This window comes from Homo sapiens, chromosome 7, assembly GCF_000001405.40.
Source record: "Homo sapiens chromosome 7, GRCh38.p14 Primary Assembly".
Lineage (NCBI taxonomy): Eukaryota > Metazoa > Chordata > Mammalia > Primates > Hominidae > Homo > Homo sapiens.
In genome coordinates, this window is record NC_000007.14 from 120214883 (window position 1) to 120235006 (window position 20124).

General features: G+C 36.7%; 1 long non-coding RNA gene across 2 annotated transcripts; it reads right to left on the bottom strand.

Annotated features, from left to right (window-relative positions):
- Nucleotides 1-1677: 1677 nt before the first annotated feature.
- On the bottom strand, nt 1678-12236 carry LOC105375477 (uncharacterized). Of its 2 annotated transcripts, XR_927915.1 has the most exons (3): nt 12197-12236; nt 11480-11607; nt 1678-2185 (listed from the first exon to the last, which is right to left on the bottom strand). It is a non-coding gene; the product is annotated as an uncharacterized LOC105375477 (long non-coding RNA). The 2 variants fall into 2 exon arrangements; XR_927914.1 differs by lacking the exon at nt 1678-2185 and having other exon boundaries at nt 11411-11607.
- Between the last annotated feature and the right edge of the window lie 7888 nt (nt 12237-20124).

Consider the following 20124-nt stretch of genomic DNA (forward strand, 5'->3'; position numbering starts at 1 on the left):
TGTACCACAGACCTCTTTCAATTTGCTTCCCCTGTCAAATAAATTTTGTATCCTTTGACCAACATCTTCCCAATAATATTTAAAGGATTATAATTTAGTTATATGTATATAAAAATATAAAAAGATGTCAGATTGGACCTTACCTGGTAAGCGGGTCTGGAGCTAATATGTGGTTAAAGAAAATGTATCAAATATCAATCAATTGGTTAAAGCAAATGCAGAGAGGGGAGGCTAACATGTCCTGTGGAATTTACTAGGACATGACTAAACTCAAACTACTACCAGAATCTCGTCCTCCCTCCTCTCTTCTCCCTCAATAAGCCATGTATGGGCAAAACTGTGGTAAACTGTTAACCAAGGAAGGGAGGAATAAAGCTCTTTACCTTTCCAAACTCGAGTCAAATAAAGGGGCTTCCTTCAAGGCAAATAAAATGAATCCAGGGGAACTACTCAAAGGGATTGGGGGCAGGGCGTAGTCTTATAGGAAAGAGAGACTAGCGTCTTATTTCACACTTTTTTATATAGTAAATTGCACTTTGCCTCCTACATTCATTTAAGCAAAGGCTGAAGGGACTCAGAGAAAAACAGTAGATCAGAGAAGCATCTATGGAATTGGCTGCAATATCCCCTGTGATGGTTCATATTGAGTATCAACTCGATTGGATTGAAGAATGCAAAATATTGTTCCTGGGTGTGTCTGTGAGAGTGCTGCCAAAGATTAACATTTGAGTCAGTGGACTGGGAGAGACAGACCCAGTCTCAATCTGTGTAGGCACCAACTGATCAGTTGCCATTGCCGCTAGAATAAAGCAGGCAGAAGAACGTGGAAGGATTTGACTTGCCGAGTCTTCCAGCCTTCATCTTTTCCCCGTGCTAGAGGCTTCCTGCCCTCAAACATCAGACTCCGAGTTCTTCAGCTTTTGGGCTCTTGGACTTGTACCAGTGGTTAGCCACCAACTCTCAGACCACAGACTGAAGGCTGCACTGTTGGCGTCCCTACTTTTGAGGTTTTGGCACTTGCACTGGCTTCCCTGCTCCTCAGCTTGAAGATAGCCTATTATGGGACTTCACCTTGTGATGGCGTGAGTCAACACACCTTAATGAACTCCCCTTCATATGTACATATCCTATTGGTTCTGTCCCTCTGGAGAACCCTGACTAATGTATCCCCATTTGTAAGATTCCTGTGGGTAAAGTATAGGGCACTGTGGTAGTGGGGATGGTGATGTGCAAAATGAAGAAGTCCTGCACAGAAAACCTCCAAAGAGAGTGAACTGTGCAGTTGGAGGCCCCCAAGGTTCTCCATAACAAGCACACACGAGGCTCAAAATTTGCAGTCCTGCCACGAAGTATGTTGTCAGGTGACCCGTGTTAGTGAAAAGTCCTCTCCCATTCCTACAAGAGGAAAGTAGTGAAGACATTTAATTATCCCAGAGGATGACTTATCTGTATTCCGGGTCATATGAGTACAAGTTTAAACAACTTTGGATGGAAAAGGAAGAGGTCACAAAGCTTTCAACTGAATATGGAATTGGAATTTTTCAAAAGACTAGACCCAATTGAAATTTATAAAAATTGAAAGAAATTAAAATCTAAGGATTTTCCAAAGTGGTCATTTAGGAATGAAGAAAAAAAAAAAAAAGGAAATTCACCAACATGGTAAAAGGTTATGATTGGAGAAAACTAAAACCATTTCTTTTCTGGAGTCCACTGATTAAAAATTGTTTAAAAATCAGTTAAAAGTAATTGCTTGACAAGAAAATGAATAACGGAAAAATAGCCTAGTATTATTGCTTATAAAACTTCACATAATAATTTTGACTACAGTCTTAGAAAGGACTATGTAAGATAATTTATTCAATAACCTGGGAGTGGGGGCAGAACTCTTTATAGCTAACATTTTATGGCAGCCCTAAGTTAGTCAGCTTAATTAATTTCTATCTCAATTAAACTAGCTAATGTCTAACACTAGCTTTAGAATTTTAAAGACTAAATTATCTATTAAATCTATGACATGAAAATTGAAGGTTTCAGCTAATTATCTGGATAAATATAAAGTACTGCTTAAGGATAGTTCTGGCCAACTCCACACGTCCCTTTGAAACAGTTCTTCAGGTTAAAGGATGTTGACAATTCCTGGAAGCAAATGCAGGTTCCCGATTTTATGACTTCATTTTCTTTGCCTCTGTAAAATCACAGGGATCACTCATCAAACAATAACCAGGACATGTACTTGCCTAGATCCTAATGATTCATTATAACACAAGAATCTGGGGAAATAGGGCTGGAGCCAGACTGGTATTAAACTCTAGCTCTACCCCTTCTTGGCTGGGTGACTGGGCAAGTTATGTGACTGTGCCTCAGCTTCTTCATTTTTACAAAGGGGCTAATAGCTGTTTTGCTTGATAGGGTTATTATTAAAAAGAAAACCAAATAAAATACAAAAATCACTCAGAATATAAGTATTAACCAAGATATTGATTTTGAGAGATTATTACTGTATACAGCTATTGACCAAAAACTAAAACAATCAGTATTTCAAAAAATTTTTAAAAAGTAATAAGCATCAATTGTCCTACCTTTTCCTAAATGGTACTCCTATTTTCACCTTCATACCTGAACCATATTATTTTAACATCCTGACGTTTTTCTGGATTATATTTCAATACTCATGCAGCTCAGTATAGGAAATAGGTATAAAGAGATTGCAGATGTATGTTCTTTACATAAAATATCATACTTCTATAATTGAATAGAAGCAAAATTCTTTTTCCTCTGTTAACAAAAAGATATATACTTGCTTTCATCATTGAATGATTTTTTTTTTTTAGTTTTACATCTGGGAAACAGGGTATATTGATATTGAAGCCATATTACACTGGAATTTTTATATAATATTCTCTCCCCTTTACATATCTTACATTTTATTATTGCAAATATTGAAGCTGAAATTAACTCAAATCCTGTGTTGATGCAGGAATAATTTAAGTTATAAAATTAACTCAGAAGATTATGTGTAAACTGTGATTGAAACAGACTCTCCTGTCTTATAGAACTATAATTTCTCTGCAAAGTGAAATCCAACCAATAATTAGCATTTACCGCTGGGCACGGTGGCTCACGCCTGTAATCCCAGCACTTTTGGAGGCTGAGGCCGGCGGATCACGAGGTCAAGAGATTGAGACCATCCTGGCCAAAATAGTGAAACCCCGTCTCTACTAAAAATACAAAATTTAGCTGGGCATGGTAGTGCGCGCCTGTAGTCACAGCTACTGGGGATGCTGAGGCAGAAGAATCGCTTGAACCTGGGAGGCGGAGGTTGCAGTGAGCTGAGATCGCACCACTGCACTCCAGCCTGGACAGAAGAAGACTCTGTCTAAAATCATACTAATAATAAGCATTTACCAGTAATTTATATAAAAAGCAGTAATCAATCTCTAATATAATTTGCCTGTGATAAAAATACATCTAAAATCCCTATTGCTGGTGGCTTGCATAGAGAGACGGATAGAAAAAAACAAAAGAAAGACTGGTTGAGAGAGACAAATGTGGAAGAGAAGGTAAGATAGAAAAAGAGGGAGAGGGAGTAAGGGAAGGAAGAAGGTGGATTAAGTTTAGTTAGTAGTACAAACATCGTAGACCACATTTTCCACAGTCATTTATGAGCTAGGGGTTAGTGAGGACAAGTTATCCTTTTATTTCACGGCTAATCACCATCAAGAAAGGGAGAACCTTTGGGAATATTTTAATTGGGAAAGTAGCATACAGTTATACATGGGTTTGTTAATGCCCATAATTGTTTTCCAGAAAGAAATAGATACATACATATTTTTTACTTTGTTTGATACATTAAATATAAATCCTGTGCCTTACACAAGGACTGACTGAATTTCAATTTGTCCTGGGTTAGAAATTAGAAAGAAGACTCATAGAACACTGAATAGACCCAGTTTACTTAAAGTACACAAATGAAGTAATGTAGCATTTATCCAAACAGTAATTGCATCAGGAGTCTTTGCAACATCTCAGATGTAGCTTCTTGGCCCCCTGCCTCAGGAGAAGTGCTGTATTGCAAGAGCTGAAATTAAAACAAGCTAATGTAGATAACTCAAATTTAGGAAAGCAGCCTGTATAATTTTGCACTTAAATCTTATACTGTTTCAAGTAATCTCTCTTGGAGGATATGCCAATTGAGTATAGCTACAATCTACCAATCAGAGGTTTAATCATGAATAATTTTGGTACCTGAGTACAATCTGCTTGATACAGCATGAACAAAGAATGCTATGTTTATTTTAACTTAGTACTTGTTAGAAGGCAGAATTGCAAAAAAATATGGAGTCATGTTGCCAGATCTCCATGGATTTGGCATAAGAGCAGATCAAATGAACAAAATATTGAAGTCCAAATTTTTTTAAATATTTAAGCATTATCTACAAATTTTATGTATTAGAAAACTTTAATTGAGGAATACTTTATAGGAGGTCTGCAATATATTACTAGAAGTGAAGCTAAAAGGGTAACAAATCAAACTTGTCAAGATCATTCATTGATTCTTTTTTTTTTGAGATGGAGTTTCGCTCTTGTTGCCTAGGCTGGAGTGCAATGGCGTGATCTTGGCTCACCGTAACCTCCGCTCCTGGGTTCAAGTGATTCTCCTGCCTCAGCCTCCCGAGTAGCTGGGATTACAGGCATGTTCCACCACGCCTGGATAATTTGTACTTTTAGTAGAGACAGGGTTTCTCCATGTTGGTCAGGCTGGTCTCAAACTCCCTGCCTCAAGTGATCCACCTGCCTCGGCCTCCCAAAGTGTTGGGATTATAGGCATGAGCCACCGCACCTGGCTCCATCCATTGATTCTTGATCAGGATTTAGCATTAGGATTACTTTCCTTTGAAGATGCAAAACACTTGCCATCAGGCTGAGATTCATTTTAATAGTTAAACTTATTAAAATGTAATGTAGGTACCACTTTCAGATCCCAAACAGGGTCTGACAATAAGTGCTCAATAAATAAACAAATATTTGTTAAGTTAATTAATTTGTTAATTAGTTTTTTAGAGCATTCATGTTTTTTAATTTTGGAAACCTACTTTGAGTCCCCAAATGTATAGCATTGATTCAAAATCTTGTTTTACAAGCATTACAAAATCCAGTGCCCCAAAATCATGATATGTTGACCTGTTCTGCCAGTATCATTAAAAATGTATGCATCCCTCATCAGTATGTTATGACAATTAATATCATTGAGAAAATTAATGTCCTAGGCGATGAGGACTTGTATCTTCACTATCAGTTCTCCTTTTTTAAGACATTGGCTAAAGAAACACATTGATCATAATATGTAAACATTTATTTTTTTCTATTTGGTCACTGTTTGTGACAACCAATGCTTATTAACTGTTGGACCCAGTACAATCTGTCACATGTAACTGATATTACCAGAACTCATCAGGTTCTTCTTTTCCCTGGTATAGTTATGATAGCTTCTAAAACAACTAATGTTATAGTCAGTTGCCAGCATTTGCTGGTTCCTGCCTTTACCCTGTCTTTCTTATTTTTGTATCACAGTTACTTCTATTTTTTATTATCAAGTATGAGGAGGTACAAGTCATAGTGGGTAAGTTGGCTATGTAATAACCCTCAAACCTTAAAGGAGTAGCAATGTAAATGTTTATTATTCATTTATGTCAAAAAACAAATAGTCCCCAAAAGTAGGAAGAAAAGGTTAAAATTTGTGCAGTCATTCAGAGACACAGGATGACTGAAGCTTGGCCATCTGTAATACATGGCTTCAAATTCAAAATGGTGACACCCAGTCAAAAGAACGGGGAAATAAATTGAAGCACAGCTCTTAACTGCCTCACATCAGAAGCGACATATCACTTGTGCTCAGAATTCATTGGTGGGAATAAGTCATATGACCCCGGGTAATCAAAAGGGTTACAAAACATATTTTCACAGTGCCCAAGAAAAGGAAAAAGTTTGAGGATCATCTGGTCAGTATCTGACATTAATTTCACATAAACGTGTGGATGTTACAGATTTGTTCATTTATCATCATCATCCTCATCATCCTGATACAAAAATTGCCATGATATTTCCATTGTGAACTCTCATAAAGTTTCCTGAAAGGATGCTAAGTCTAAAAAAATTATTTTATTCCAGGCAATATAAAGATATTGGAGATTCTTCCTGCTTTTTTATTTACCAAAGACAGCAATGTAACTAAGCTCTTGCTTCATTTTAAATAGTAGTAAAATTCAACATAAGGGCACTAGGGATACGCATGGGCCAAAATTGCTGCAGCTACTGGGTCAATTTTAGCAGTGACATAATGGAAGGGATCTATATTTAAGATGACCGAAAATTTATTTTTCGATTTAATATATATTCCTGTACTTTTTGTATTTCTTTTTTTACTAATAGGGTTTTATTAGCAAACTAAGGCTTTTTTGTGACATTGACAACAGTTACTTTGAACATGAGTTAAAGCCCTGTCAGGCTCCATTGAGAGGCTAATCAGAGTTTTCCACGTGAGTGATGTTTAGGTCCAGTCACTTGTGACTGTAATCAGAAAGCTGGTCTGACTTCTGTGACAGCCGAATTGTGTCAAAATTGTCTTAAATATATACTATATTCTCTTACAGGTAGAATTTAACTTATTGTTTGCTTTCACAAATAGTTATAATACTCTAAAACTTTATGTAACTAAGTTTTGGGTTTCCTTTTACCCTTCACACTTTAAAGAGAAAACCATCATCACTTATTTTTATTACTGAAGCCTAAAATTCTAAAAGTCATTTTGTGTGTTTCATTTGCTGGGCTTTTTCTATTCCCAAATTCATTCATATGCAGAATTACCCATGATATTCTGGAGAAAACAGGATGTCATTCTCTAAATGAAACACTTGGAAGGAGGATTATTTCTATTTCAAGCCTCCAGTTTATTTTAATTTATTTGCTGATGGAGCCAAGATCTGCAAGGAACAGTTCCACATTCTCATGCTGATTCTAAGTGCAAAAATCTACATCATGACCTTTGTATTAACAGACACAATATATCTTTAAAAATAGAGCATTCTAGCTGTATGTGCCAAGGCCCTAGTAGATTCAAATCTAAGCAGACATTACTACAGAAAAGCTTCAGTCTTGAGAAGAGCAGCTTTCACACAAGTGAATGAGAATTTAAAGAAAAAAAAAAGAACAAAAAAAGAAGAAAGAATACTGGGCTTAAAATACATTGTCAGAGTAGCAGCATCCAAAATACAGTGAAAATATATGCCTCAACTTAAGCAGTTTTTGTCTGTCACTCATTTCATGGTTTATAATCACACTCAAGGGAATAATATCAAGGCGATACTCCTGTTTCCTCAGAATCCATTTCTCCCAGGTGCTCTACTCTATCTCCATGAGTAATCTTCTGCTTGGCACTAAAGGGAGACTGAGTCTGCTACTCACACTGGCTTGTGCTGGCTCCTAGATGTTGTCAAATCAGTGACTTAATGTACATTCTCTCTGCTTATGTTCACTCTTCACACTCTTCTAAGACCACAGAACAAGATAAATAACCACCAACATATTTGGAGTAAGCTATATGATGTAAAAATAATTGAATAGCAGGTGTTTTGTTAATACATAGGTTGTCACTGATTAATATATCCTTGGAGGTGAACATAATTATTTCAAAGAGGGGACTGTTGAAATCATTAAGCATGTGGTCTCTGGGGGACCAGACAGGCTCTTAAAGGAACTGGCTCTTAAAGGAACTATTTCCTCAGAGGGTGGGGTAATAGATCCTAATTACAGCATCAATTAACAGTGTACAGCATTGCATGGTTTACTTCAGGTGACTTATTTAATACATCAACCTTGTGAGTTAGATGCCATCAGTATTATCTATAGTTTTCAGCTGAAGAAATGAAGGTTTGCAGAATTTAAGTGATTTAACCTGTTTTAGAGTTAGTATGTACCAGAGTCATCATTTTATAAAACTCTGATCCCAAATCTTATGTTTTTATCTTTTTTCTAATATGCTAGTGATTTTCAGATCGTATTCTGCATTGATATGGGTCTCTGAAAAGAAACTTCAGGGGCCACTATAAGGAGCAAGTAGAGACTCAAAGCAAATATGAATTCAGCGCCATCCCTCCCTATATCCATCAAAGCAACTCCGTTTTTATTGGTTGTTTAAACTGGGATTTTATGTAAGATTACATTTAAACATTAAAAAAAATAGTTCCAGTAACAAGTCAACAAAAACAGCAAGATTTTAGTACAAAACATTGTGCTACATCTTCTTTCTTTTTCCAAACAGAGACTGCTCAAAGTGATTCCTCAGTAAATAAATTTAGTCTATCAAGTTTACCTAGGAAAACACAGAGAGGGTTAAGATCGAGTTTTTGTTTGTTTGTTTGTTTTTAAGAGACAGGGTCTCACTCTGTCACCCAGGCTGGAGCGCAGTGGTGCAATCATAGCTCACCGCAACCTCGAACCCCTGGGCTCAAGCAAAGATCAGGATTTTTTTTAAGGATAGTATATTCAGGTATATTTTTTTCGGTGCTAATTTTGTTTAAAGATGAAGTTCTTGCGTCGTTGGTTTAACAAATGTCCTAGTTATTAATGCCTATGGGGAATCTGCACAGTGTCTCTTCTATGAGAAGATAGATCCCTTTATGACAAGACCCCAGTTCTTGGTCATAGATGATTGAATTAAGGTTGACATCTAACCCAAGTTGGGCCAATTTTATTACCTCCCCAAATAAAAAAATTGATTGGTACAGCAGGTTAAACCTGGAAGCTGAGTCACCTTTATAGTGTAACTTCACAAACTACAGAATTGTCCAGCTTTCTGCTCATTCTGAAGCCTTTGATTTTTGATACTTCTTCCTTTGATTCTTTGACATTGCTTGTTAGCTCAAGGTTTTGTTTTCCTTTTTTTTGCAACCAAAAATATGTTACCTAAGAAAGCAGTAATTTTAAAAACTAATTGGAAGCAGTTGTGTTCTGGAATTCAGAGGTATTTCCCTTTATTTTTATTCTTTCTTATTAATGAATTGAAGAAAATTAGTTAATTCCTATTATACTTTATAATGTTTTTTAAATCTGTCAATAAATAAGATAATTTTCTGAATTTATTTCTAGTATATTTTATAACATATGAATATAGGTAAATTTTTATCTCTATTAAGTCTATTAAATAAATCAATAGGAATGTTCTTCAGATATTAAATCCAATTTCTTTTTTCTCAATTTCTACCTCTAATCCTCGAAATGTATTTTCATATTTGAGGAATCTTCACTTTTTGTATGGTTATCATTCTGCTAAAACATTTTAAAGCAGGTTAATTAATTTTGTAATATTGTCTCAAGTGTGATCATTACTGCATGTGACATTTTACCTAAGTCCATATATTAAAACAGGACTATTCTGAACTGTTCAACATGTAATGTAAAAGCCCTATTTTACATCACACTCTATTAACAGAAGTATGAAAAGTGTAAAATGAATAACTGTATATGAAGGAAGATTTTACTGATGATGACTAAGTTTTTACAATTTTATTGTATTTCACAGTATATTATTTTATTAACCTAGAGGAAAGGAGGACACCTTGCACAACTTTTAGCCCCCATCATTATTCAATTAAATAGACTATTTGGAAAATAAAATTCTCATGGTAAACTGCTGAATTGGGTCATTCTGAAAGTCTTCTAATCTTTTTTATGGTTTTTTCTTAATAGTTATACATTATTGCCTTATGTTCCCTTGGTTCAGGTGTCCATCAATTCACAATTTATTACAATAACCTCCCAACTGTCCTTCATATCTCTGGCTCCTTTTTTCCTTGCCATCTCAAATCCAATTCAACTTATACCCAACCCATAAATTATTCCTCATCAACACCAAATTTACCTTTCATCAGCTTGCTAAAAAACAAACAAACGAAACTATAAAAGTACTTTAATCCCATTTTCAGAAAACAATTTAATACTTTGGAGAGGCATGCAGTGGTCTCTGAATTGATATCATTTGGCCCAACACAAACTGCTTTCATAGAACCAGGCATCTTTAATACATTTTATTTTAATCCTCATAATAAATTTGTTAAGAGCATTTAGTTATTCCTGTTTTATAGCTGAAGAAACTGAGTCCCAGAGAATTTAACTAATTTTCCTAAGTTACATAGTAGAGGCATCTGACTTTGAACCCAAGTCTGATGGGATTCCATGAAATACTTCATGAAAAATAGATCCCAAGGTCAAATAACTTTAGTAAAATAAAGTATGATATATATCCATCATGGAAATTCAAAATTTCCATTATCATTTTAAATAACGTAAGAGATATACAATTATAAGTGTATCCTAATTTGATTAATTTTGCATTTTCCAAACAAATTGGACCTCACTACCTTTTTCATGTGTCACTAATATTATCACTAGTAGACTATTGTAGAACTATTTTCGTCTGCCTAATAAATATTATGTCTTTGTGGCTTTACTGGGAACTTCTCCCTACTCTATGCAGCCACAGTTATACTCTCAGTTATATATCCACCCCTTCCTATCACAATGATAGACACAGTACTCAGGTTGTTCAATGAAAACACCAGATACCATGGACACAGTACATATTTAAAAACTAACAAATGATATAGCCAAAACCCATTAGAACCTTTCCTGAGCATTAGAAAAGTTACCTTTACACAGGCATCTTTATATCAAATGTGTGTAGAATAAAGCCAAACAAAGTCAAGAGATAGAATAAGTAGTTGAGATATCCTAGGTCCAACTATGTCTACAATAAACCTTGCCCTCAAATTCGCAGACAAAAAGACCAATAAATTCTCTTTTGGACTAAGTTTATTTGAATTGAGGTTCGGTCACTTGCAACCAAAAATTGTCCTGACACATAAAAAGCCTGTGACATTTGTGTACCACACAATGTACACTGTCAAAAACTGCACAGATCTGTGCTAAAATGCATTTAATTACCTTCATAACACTGTAGATCCCAATAAACAATTTTTTTCTAGGTTATCTCCCTTCAACTATCATTTCTTTGTGATTTAATGCACACTTAACTACTCATCAAATGACAGAGGCTTTCTTCCTTCTTGTTGTTTATCATCAAATATTTACCCATAATAAGCTTTAGTCATATTGTTATTTAGCTAGTTACTATAATCCAGTTGTAGGTCAGATTTCCTAGAAGCTTTGCCCTGAATGGGGATTCTTGTGCTAGCCACTTATTAAGGTACTGTGCTTAGGTGAAACATAAAAGCAAGTGAGACAAATAGAAGGGAAGAAGCTTATGAAGATGTACATGCAGATAAAATCTAGCCTCTGTCTCCTCCCATAGGGAGTTCTAGCTCAGGAATGTTTAGAGTCATCCTACACTGAAGCAAAATGTCTCCCTTTTATTTAGGTCAATTCTAAAAAGAATATAACTGCAACTGTTCCCACTAACACTCACAGAAAGTGAGAGACAGGTGCTTTCAGTCCAGAAAACGTATGCTGGCAAGGCTACAACAGAGTCAACTGCAACCTCCAGTTCCTTCCAACATGTCCTTGAAATAGTTTTGAGAAACTGCATGGTATAACCTAGAAAGAATTCAATTATTACAGTAAGATTGATCTAGGTTAAATTTCAGCACTGGTGCTTAATTTTTTGGTAAACTTGGACAAGTCATTTCACATCTATTGGCCTAGGAATAAGAATACATTCCTTTCTTTGTAATGATAAAAGGTAATATATTTAAAGATTTTGCCACATAAATAGGCACTGAATGGCACACCTTAGTGATACCTTAAATTAAGCAGCTTGGTGGTTTTTAAAATCTCAGTACTAGCTAAAACAACATTTATTATTTGATATACAAAAATAATTTAAAAGTAAATTTTTACTGAGCCTCTTCTCAAGAACAACAAAATCCAACAAGGTTTACATATCTAATACCCATTAAACTGCTTTACAGTCTTCATTCTTCCTCAATCCTGAACTGTACACCACAAGACAGCTGCTTCTAACATTTCAGTCCTTCCTCCTCTAGGCTCCCCTAAGCTACCCCACAGATCACAACCTACAAGAGGCCATCTTGAATTTTTCCTTCTGTATTTGTTTACTAAGTCTGCCATAACAAAGTACCAAACAGTAGGTGGCATAAATAATAGAAACTAATTTTTTTCCCACCTTTGGAGGCTAGAAATCTGAGATCAAGGTGTTGGCAGAGTTACTTCTTCTGAGAACTCTCTCTCTCTAGCTTTTCCATGGCCATCTTCCCTCTGTGTCTTCCCATGGTCTTCCCTCTGTGTGTGTCTGTGTCCTAATCTCCTCTTCCTAAAGGGACACCAGTCATAATGAATTATGGTGACCCCTCAATGACCTCACTTTAACTTCATCTCATGCTTTGAGGCCCTATCTCCAAATATGGTCATATTTTAAGGTACTGGGAGTTGGAACTTCAACGTATGGATTTTGGGGGGAACACAATTCAGACCATAACACCTTTGCTTTTCCTGTAGCTAACACTTGCCAGACACTCTCTGTTTACTCCCGTGTATATTGTGCTAGCCTTTCTGACGTCACAATATCTGCTTGTTACTCTTTATTGTGATATGCAGAAAAATGACCCAGGAGTTAGTCTGGCAAAGGAAAATGCTCATGGGTATTTATTGGGCAGGTGAGAGGGAGCAAATATGAATGGTCATGAATTTAAAATTTTTCTGTTACATTTTATAATAAAAATAGATTTAAAATAATTTAAAAATAGATCTTGTGGAAACACATCTCATTGAGACTCAACATCAGTAGTTACCATCTTATGGGGGAGATAGGAGACACTGAAATAATTTATTTTTGGAACCTGAGAATATTAGTTGAGAAGAGTATGACTGTTTCATCTTTTTCTCAGGTGAAGTTTTACTTTAATTATAAATCCAGAGTGGAAAAAATAGACTGAACTATTACAGAGATGGTGTTTACTCTATAAAATTTAGTTGTCTTAAAAACAGATAAAATTACCGGATAGAAAATGACTAGATCAAGATTATTTTGTTTACATACATATTATATCTTGATTGTAGAGTGCTTAGAGTTATATTTGCCTTTAACTTTTGCCTGAAGGTAGCTTTAGAATTGGGCAGACACAGGATATCTGAGAAAGAGAGGATCTCTGACAATTTTGTAGTGGGAGCATCAGCTACTAGGTTGCCTACCAGGGAAAGAAGTCATTTGTCTGATGAGAACAGCTGTAGCCTCCAACTCAGAAGAATAGAAATCACTGTTAAAAAGAAGCACCCTAAGAATCAAAATCAAAATCAAAATAATGAGGAGATGAGAAGTAGAGACTATCAATTTATAAATGTTTAAAACTGAAAGAGAGAAAGAGAGAGAAACAAAAGACTAGCTATTAATATTTGCATTTAGGTTAACTCCCATTTTTTGTGTAAGATGTTCATCACACCTTCTGTTTATTTTATAAGCAATTTTCCAGTGTCTGCAATGATTATTGCAAAATAACCCAAAGCTTTCAATTCCCTTATTTCTTTCCAGTATAAATTTTTAAAAATGAGCTCAATAGTTCAGACCCTTCGGAACAATCATTAACTTACCAGTCTTTTTATTTATTAATGTCCTTTTCTTATATCTTGTGCTCCCTTTTCTCCAAAGTATTTGTAAAATTCTATTCTCTTCAAGTCCTTGGCTACCATGAATTATTTCTGCCTTTTTTCTTGTACTGAGACCTACAAATAATGTAGCATGTCTTTGTTAAGTTCATTTTTTGCATTTTCAATATCAGTTTTTATTATAATAACAAGAACCATAATTAGATTTCTATAAAATTATTCTAATGATTTATAGATATAACTTGTCATCATCATCTATATAATTACATATTATATATATGATATATATGTAATATTTCCAGGCTATTCGGAAAATATAAACACATAAGACCCATCTAATTTTTTATAGACATATATGTACATATATAAATTCATATATAATGGTGCTTCACATGTTGCCTGTGACATTATATACTAAGACTAGCAATATATACTAGAAATATTTGACAAGATACATAATACAGAACTTATTTATATTGTGTTACTCCCACTTAAAGTGTAGGTAATATTTACTGGAGTAATAGAAAATGCTACCTAGATTTCCCTACTAGACAGCACTCCTCTGGCCGCTGGGATTATTGGCCGCTGATGGCTCTTCTCAGGAAATAATTCTCAGCTAAAAAGAATATCTTTATCCAAGGTCACATCTCCCTCCTGGAAGTCAGCATGCATCCAATGACTAATTGATGTGGAAATATAAACACCTGATGTCCTTGCCTCAAATTGGAGCAATTCTAAAACATTGTTCCATCTCTAGAGCTCCCATAGGAGCAACTGAGACTTTTGGTGCAGCTACATCACTTTCAATTCTTTCCTCTGTCCAAGCCAGCTTCCTTTAATTCTCCACAGATGTTGACCCTGAGGGCAGCTTGAATAAATTTTCAGCCTGCAAATCTCTGCCTCAAAATTTGTTTCCGAGGCTAACCACCATAAAACTGTTGGTACGAGGCATGGACCAAGGAATCAGCCTCTAAAATAGGATTTTGGAACTGGACTACCTCACACCCGAGTGCAAAATAAGACTCCATTGGTTACAGACTGTTGTGAGGCATGTGTTAAATTGTACAAGTAGTGAACAGAGGTAAGATAGGTATGCAGTAGGAGGTTTGATATTTGGGTTTTTAAAAGGTTTCTTGGAAGTACATATTATAAGAACAATGGTATCCTGTTAACTCTTGCTGAATGCCATTTATGGACTGGAAGAAGACAATAAACAGTAGGTGATTAATCACCTAAGTAAGTGTGGAAGGAGAAGTTTCCTTGGTAGCATAAAAAAAGACTTATCTTCTGCAGCCAGAGGGCAGAAAAATCCTAAGAAAGAAGCCCACGACTTAATTATAAAGAGTAGCAGAGTTCCGGGGAGGGAATACAGGGCAGATAACTCTAATGAATAAGGCCAGGACCTAATTATATGAGTAGTGAAGTTCAAGGAAGGCTTATTCTTAACCTGCTTTCAGTGCCCCTATGCCAAGCACTGGTTGGGAAAGAGTGAGTTATTGAGAATTGGCATGGGGACACCTGTTTTGGTGCACTCAGAATCTTGAAGCTCCAGAATTCACTGAACTCTTCTGGGCCTGCAAGAGTGGCCAACTTCTTATTGTTAGAGGATAGACATATATTCTTGATGAAAGCTATGGCAGAAGCCAGTGCCTTTTAACATGTGTACCCTTTAGGATCAACCCACATGACCGATCACCAATTACTAGAACGAAATCACAACATGCCCAGGAAAGTTCTGGGCATGCTAAGGTAGGGCAGGGACTACATTTCAAAAGAGAGGCTGGACCCATAGCCATTATGTTCCAGATAGTATATGAGTCTCTATTCTAAATGTGCTGGATCAAGGGTGCTGAAACATGAGGCTGAATAAGGAAGAGGTTATTATATGCAAACATTGTCCTGTAATACAGAATATAACATTCTGGCAAGGATCTCAGGGAACAATACTAACATACTATTTTTGGAAGCATGGAGAAAGTAATGGCTCCCATTAAGTTAAGTAGAAATGCCTATGGCAGACGCCGAAAGAAAGGACCAAAGTCCTTGAAGAAGTAGCTGTGCTAGAGTGGATATACTACATAAGACTGAAAAAGGCCGGGCGCGGTGGCTCACGCCTGTAATCCCAGCACTTTGGGAGGCCGAGGCGGGCGGATCACGAGGTCAGGAGATCGAGACCATCCCGGCTAAAACGGTGAAACCCCGTCTCTACTAAAAATACAAAAAATTAGCCGGGCGTAGTGGCGGGCGCCTGTAGTCCCAGCTACTCGGGAGGCTGAGGCAGGAGAATGGCGTGAACCCGGGAGGCGGAGCTTGCAGTGAGCCGAGATCCCGCCACTGCACTCCAGCCTGGGCGACAGAGCGAGACTCCGTCTCAAAAAAAAAAAAAAAAAAAAAAAAAGACTGAAAAACCCATTAGTTACCTTTGTTTTGCAGAAAAACTTGAAGGACATCTCATTGCGCAGTATGGTACAGAATGTACTAGAGAAGGGAACACTGTCATCACTGTATACTTTAATGGCTACTATCAACAGGGTTGATAATAGTAGATACTTTTATATTCATAGAAACAATGGGGATTGCACACCCACTTTCCCCCAATAAAAGAAGCCAGGTGGAAGCATTTGACTATTAGAAGCAAGTAGAGTTATAATTATCCTAATGAGAGACAAGGTTGAAGTAGAAGACAAGAAGGCCTTACTACAAACAAGCATATATGTGGTTAATAGAGCATAGTGTCCCTCAGGTCAAGAAGGTTGGATAGCCAATGAGGTTATTGTTTGATTTATACAATCAAAAGAGAAAGAACCTGAGTGCAGTGGCTCACGCCTGTAATCCCAGCACTTTGGAGGGGCTAAGGCAGGTGGATTGCTTGAGTGCAGAAGTTGAGGTCCAGCCTGGGCAACATGGCAAAAACCTGTCTACACACACAAAAAAAAAGCCAGGTGTGGTGGTGCATGCCTGTAGTCCCAGTTACTTGGGAGGCTGAGATGGGAGGATCATCTGAGCCTGGGAGGTGGAGGCTGCAGTAAGCCATGATCCCACCACTGCATTCCAGCCTGGGCAAGAGAGTGAGACCCTGTCTCAGGGGAAAAATAAAACTGGGGGAAGAGAGAGAGAGAGAGAGTGAGAGAGAGAGGAAGAGGATAACCATGATATCAAAGCCCATTGTCTCAATAAAAGTCATGATCTGTTGTTGAGTGTATATACCTGAGCCTATTTCCATACCCTTACCCTGCGGACAGAAGCAGATGCCAGGTCCTTAAAAAGGAATAACTCTGCAACGCCACATCAAATACAGAAATGACTCTCCCTACATACATTTATTTGGGTAACCATACGCTGAAAAGAAGCATACTACCTAAACATATGAAGAATTATTGGATACAGGGCCTTAGCATTGCTAATCGGAGGCCTGAAGCATCATCACGGTCTTTCAGTTAGTAAGGGGAATGTAGTTATGACCTTCTTTCCTAGATATTTATTTGGAATAGACATACTTAGTAGCTCTCAGAACCCCTACATTGGTTCCTTGCCTATGCATTAAGATTCATTATAATTAGGAAAGCCAAATGAAAGCCACTGAAACTGTCTCTGCTCCTCCAATCTAAGAGTAAATTAAAAACTGTATCTCAGGGAAATGGCAGAGATTAGAGTCACTCCTAAAGACTGTACGAGGTGGTAGTACATTTGATAGCCCCATAAAATTCACTGGACTTCCCTTGTAAACTTAAAAAAAAAAAATCCCTCCTCCAGATGGATGCTGGAGATGACAGTGGATACTGCAAACTTCACTAAGTGGTACCTCCACTGTAGCTTCCCTGCCAGCTGCGATGCCTTAGCTTAAACAGATTAACACAGACTCAATTACAAAGTAGTCTTTATGATTTAAAAATTATAATATACAAAATCATTTTTCCAGCCCTATTATAAAATATGTCCAGAAGCAGTTGAAATTCAACTGGATAAGACAATTGTACTACTTCTGATCTTGGTCTTTTGTCGTAATATAGTCCAAAGAGACTTAGGCGTCTTGGTCATTCTATTGTCTCAATATATCAATCATAAAATTTTAATAAGACTGAGCAAGGAGGTGCAAGTATATTACAGGCCTTGGTTGAAAAAAATGCATGTGATTTTATAGGGTGGAACTTAAACCCAGTGAAGATTTGGAATCCTCAGCATGTTAAGTGAAGTTTTGGGGAACTAGTAGTCCAGAACATGCCTTCCACATTAAATAAATTTGTTGAATTTTTATCCCTTCCATCATTAAGAGGGAAGTGTTTTCCTGGTTGGCCTCTGAGTTTCTGGAGACAGTATTTTCTAAGCTTGGGAATACTGCTCCAATTTGTTCAATAATAAACATGAAAACTGCCAGCTTTGTGTAGGACCCAGGCAGGTTCAGGTTCTGGTACAAGTGGCCCAGAATCTTGTGTCACATATCTCAGCAGATTCTCAGATGTTAGAGAATCATACAGTGTGGACTCTATGTCAAACCTCAGTAGGAAAATCACAACATAGATCCTTACAATTCTGGAGCAAAGTGAGTCCATCTGCCATAGAAAATTATAAACCATTCTCAGAACAGGTCCTAGCATTCTGCTGGAGTCTGGCAAAGATAAAGCTGTTGGCTGTAGGACAGTAAATGACCATGCTGCCCAGAATTACCCATCCATCTTGAGCTGGGTTAGCCAGATCCACCAAATCATGATTGCAAGGCCAGCAGCCACTCTTTGTAAGATGAATGTGTTCATCTAGGACTGGGAAAAACCAGGGACAGAGGCACAAGATAATGGCGTAAGCATGTTGCCCAGATCCCCATGTCATTTACCACTGTTGCACTGACATCTCTCTTTCCCATCTCACCTATGGCCACATGAGGTGGAGTAAAGTCTCAAATCACCAGGTGACAAAAGAGGAAAAAGAACAAGCTTTGTGCATAGATAGGTTTTCTCAGTACAAGAATGCAGGCTAAAAATAGTCTGCTGTTATATTCTAGCCCCATCGAAAGACAGAAGTAAGGAGGAGTCTCTGAATAGGCAAAGCTTCAGGTGGTATGCTTAGTCAGCACTTTGTATGGAATGATAAATGGCCCAAGGAAAAACATATAAAAATACATACAGTGACAACTGGCTTGGCTAATTGGTCTCAGGCCTGGAAAGAGAAAAATTTGAAGATAAATGATAAGGAGGTCTAGGGAAGAGGCATGTTGCAGACATTGAAGTTGGCACAAAGGGCGAGGTTCTTTGTTTTGCTTATTTACTCTCACCAGAGTATCTGCTACAGAAGGGGCACTAAACAACTAGGAAGGCAGAATTACCTGACTAGTAATCTGACATGATCAGCCAGTCTCTGTCACTGTCTAACCTAGACATAATAAATTAACAAAGAACCATGGTGGTAAGGATGAAAGATACTCATGGTGACAGCTGCATGACTGCCCACTCCATAAAGCTGATTCCATTACTCCTGTTGCTAAACATATAAGTTGCTTGCCACAGAGACCAACACTAAATCTGGATATGGTGTCTACCAAAAAAATAAAAATAAAAAAATAAAATAAAATAAAATAAAAAGCCATTTGGTGGCACATTGATTACATTAGACTCCTTTTACCCTGAAAAAGGCAATAGTTAATTTTGAATGGAAATGATATATATCTTAAACATAAGTTTGCCTTTTGAGCTTAGAAAACATTTGATCCACTGACATAGACTGAATATAATCATTGAATTCTTGAACTAAGGAACCACTTTATAGCAAAGAGGGTACAATAGGAGGCACATCACCATTGAATCACCTGGTTTTATCAGATACCACACTTCCCAGAAACTCTTGACATGTTGTGTCCTCACATGTATATATACAGGAACCTCTGGTGGGAGGAGTGACAGAATTACGTATAAAGTTATGAGTTGCTTACATTATTATTTTAAGAAATAAGATCTACATTTACCATATTGAAACACCTAGAAAGAGTGAGAATTTCAACCTTGATCTCTTTGATTTGCCATTTTCTTTTCATTATGAATCACTGTCTTTCCATATTTGCCCCTATGTAAAAAACTGCGTAAACAGGAAGAGCAGCAGAAATAGTGTCTCAGGAATAAATGAACAAAATTGCAGGTTAGTGCCGTGTTTATATGCAATGATTTTTCACATTTGTTTTAATATTGACAAATTAGAATCAATCTAAATATTCATCAATATGGAATTGGCTATATAAAATATGGCATCTACACGTGATCAGTAAACATGTAACCATTTAAAATCTGATTTTTAAAATTTTTTAAATTTTTTTATTTTTACTTTTATTTTTAATTTTATTATTATTATACTTTAAGTTTTAGGGTACATATGCACAAAGTGCAGGTTTGCTACATATGTATACATGTGCCATGTTGGTGTGCTGCACCCATTAACTCATTTAACATTAGGTATATCTCCTAATGCTATCCCTCCCCCTCCCCCCACCCCACAACAGTCCCCAGAGTG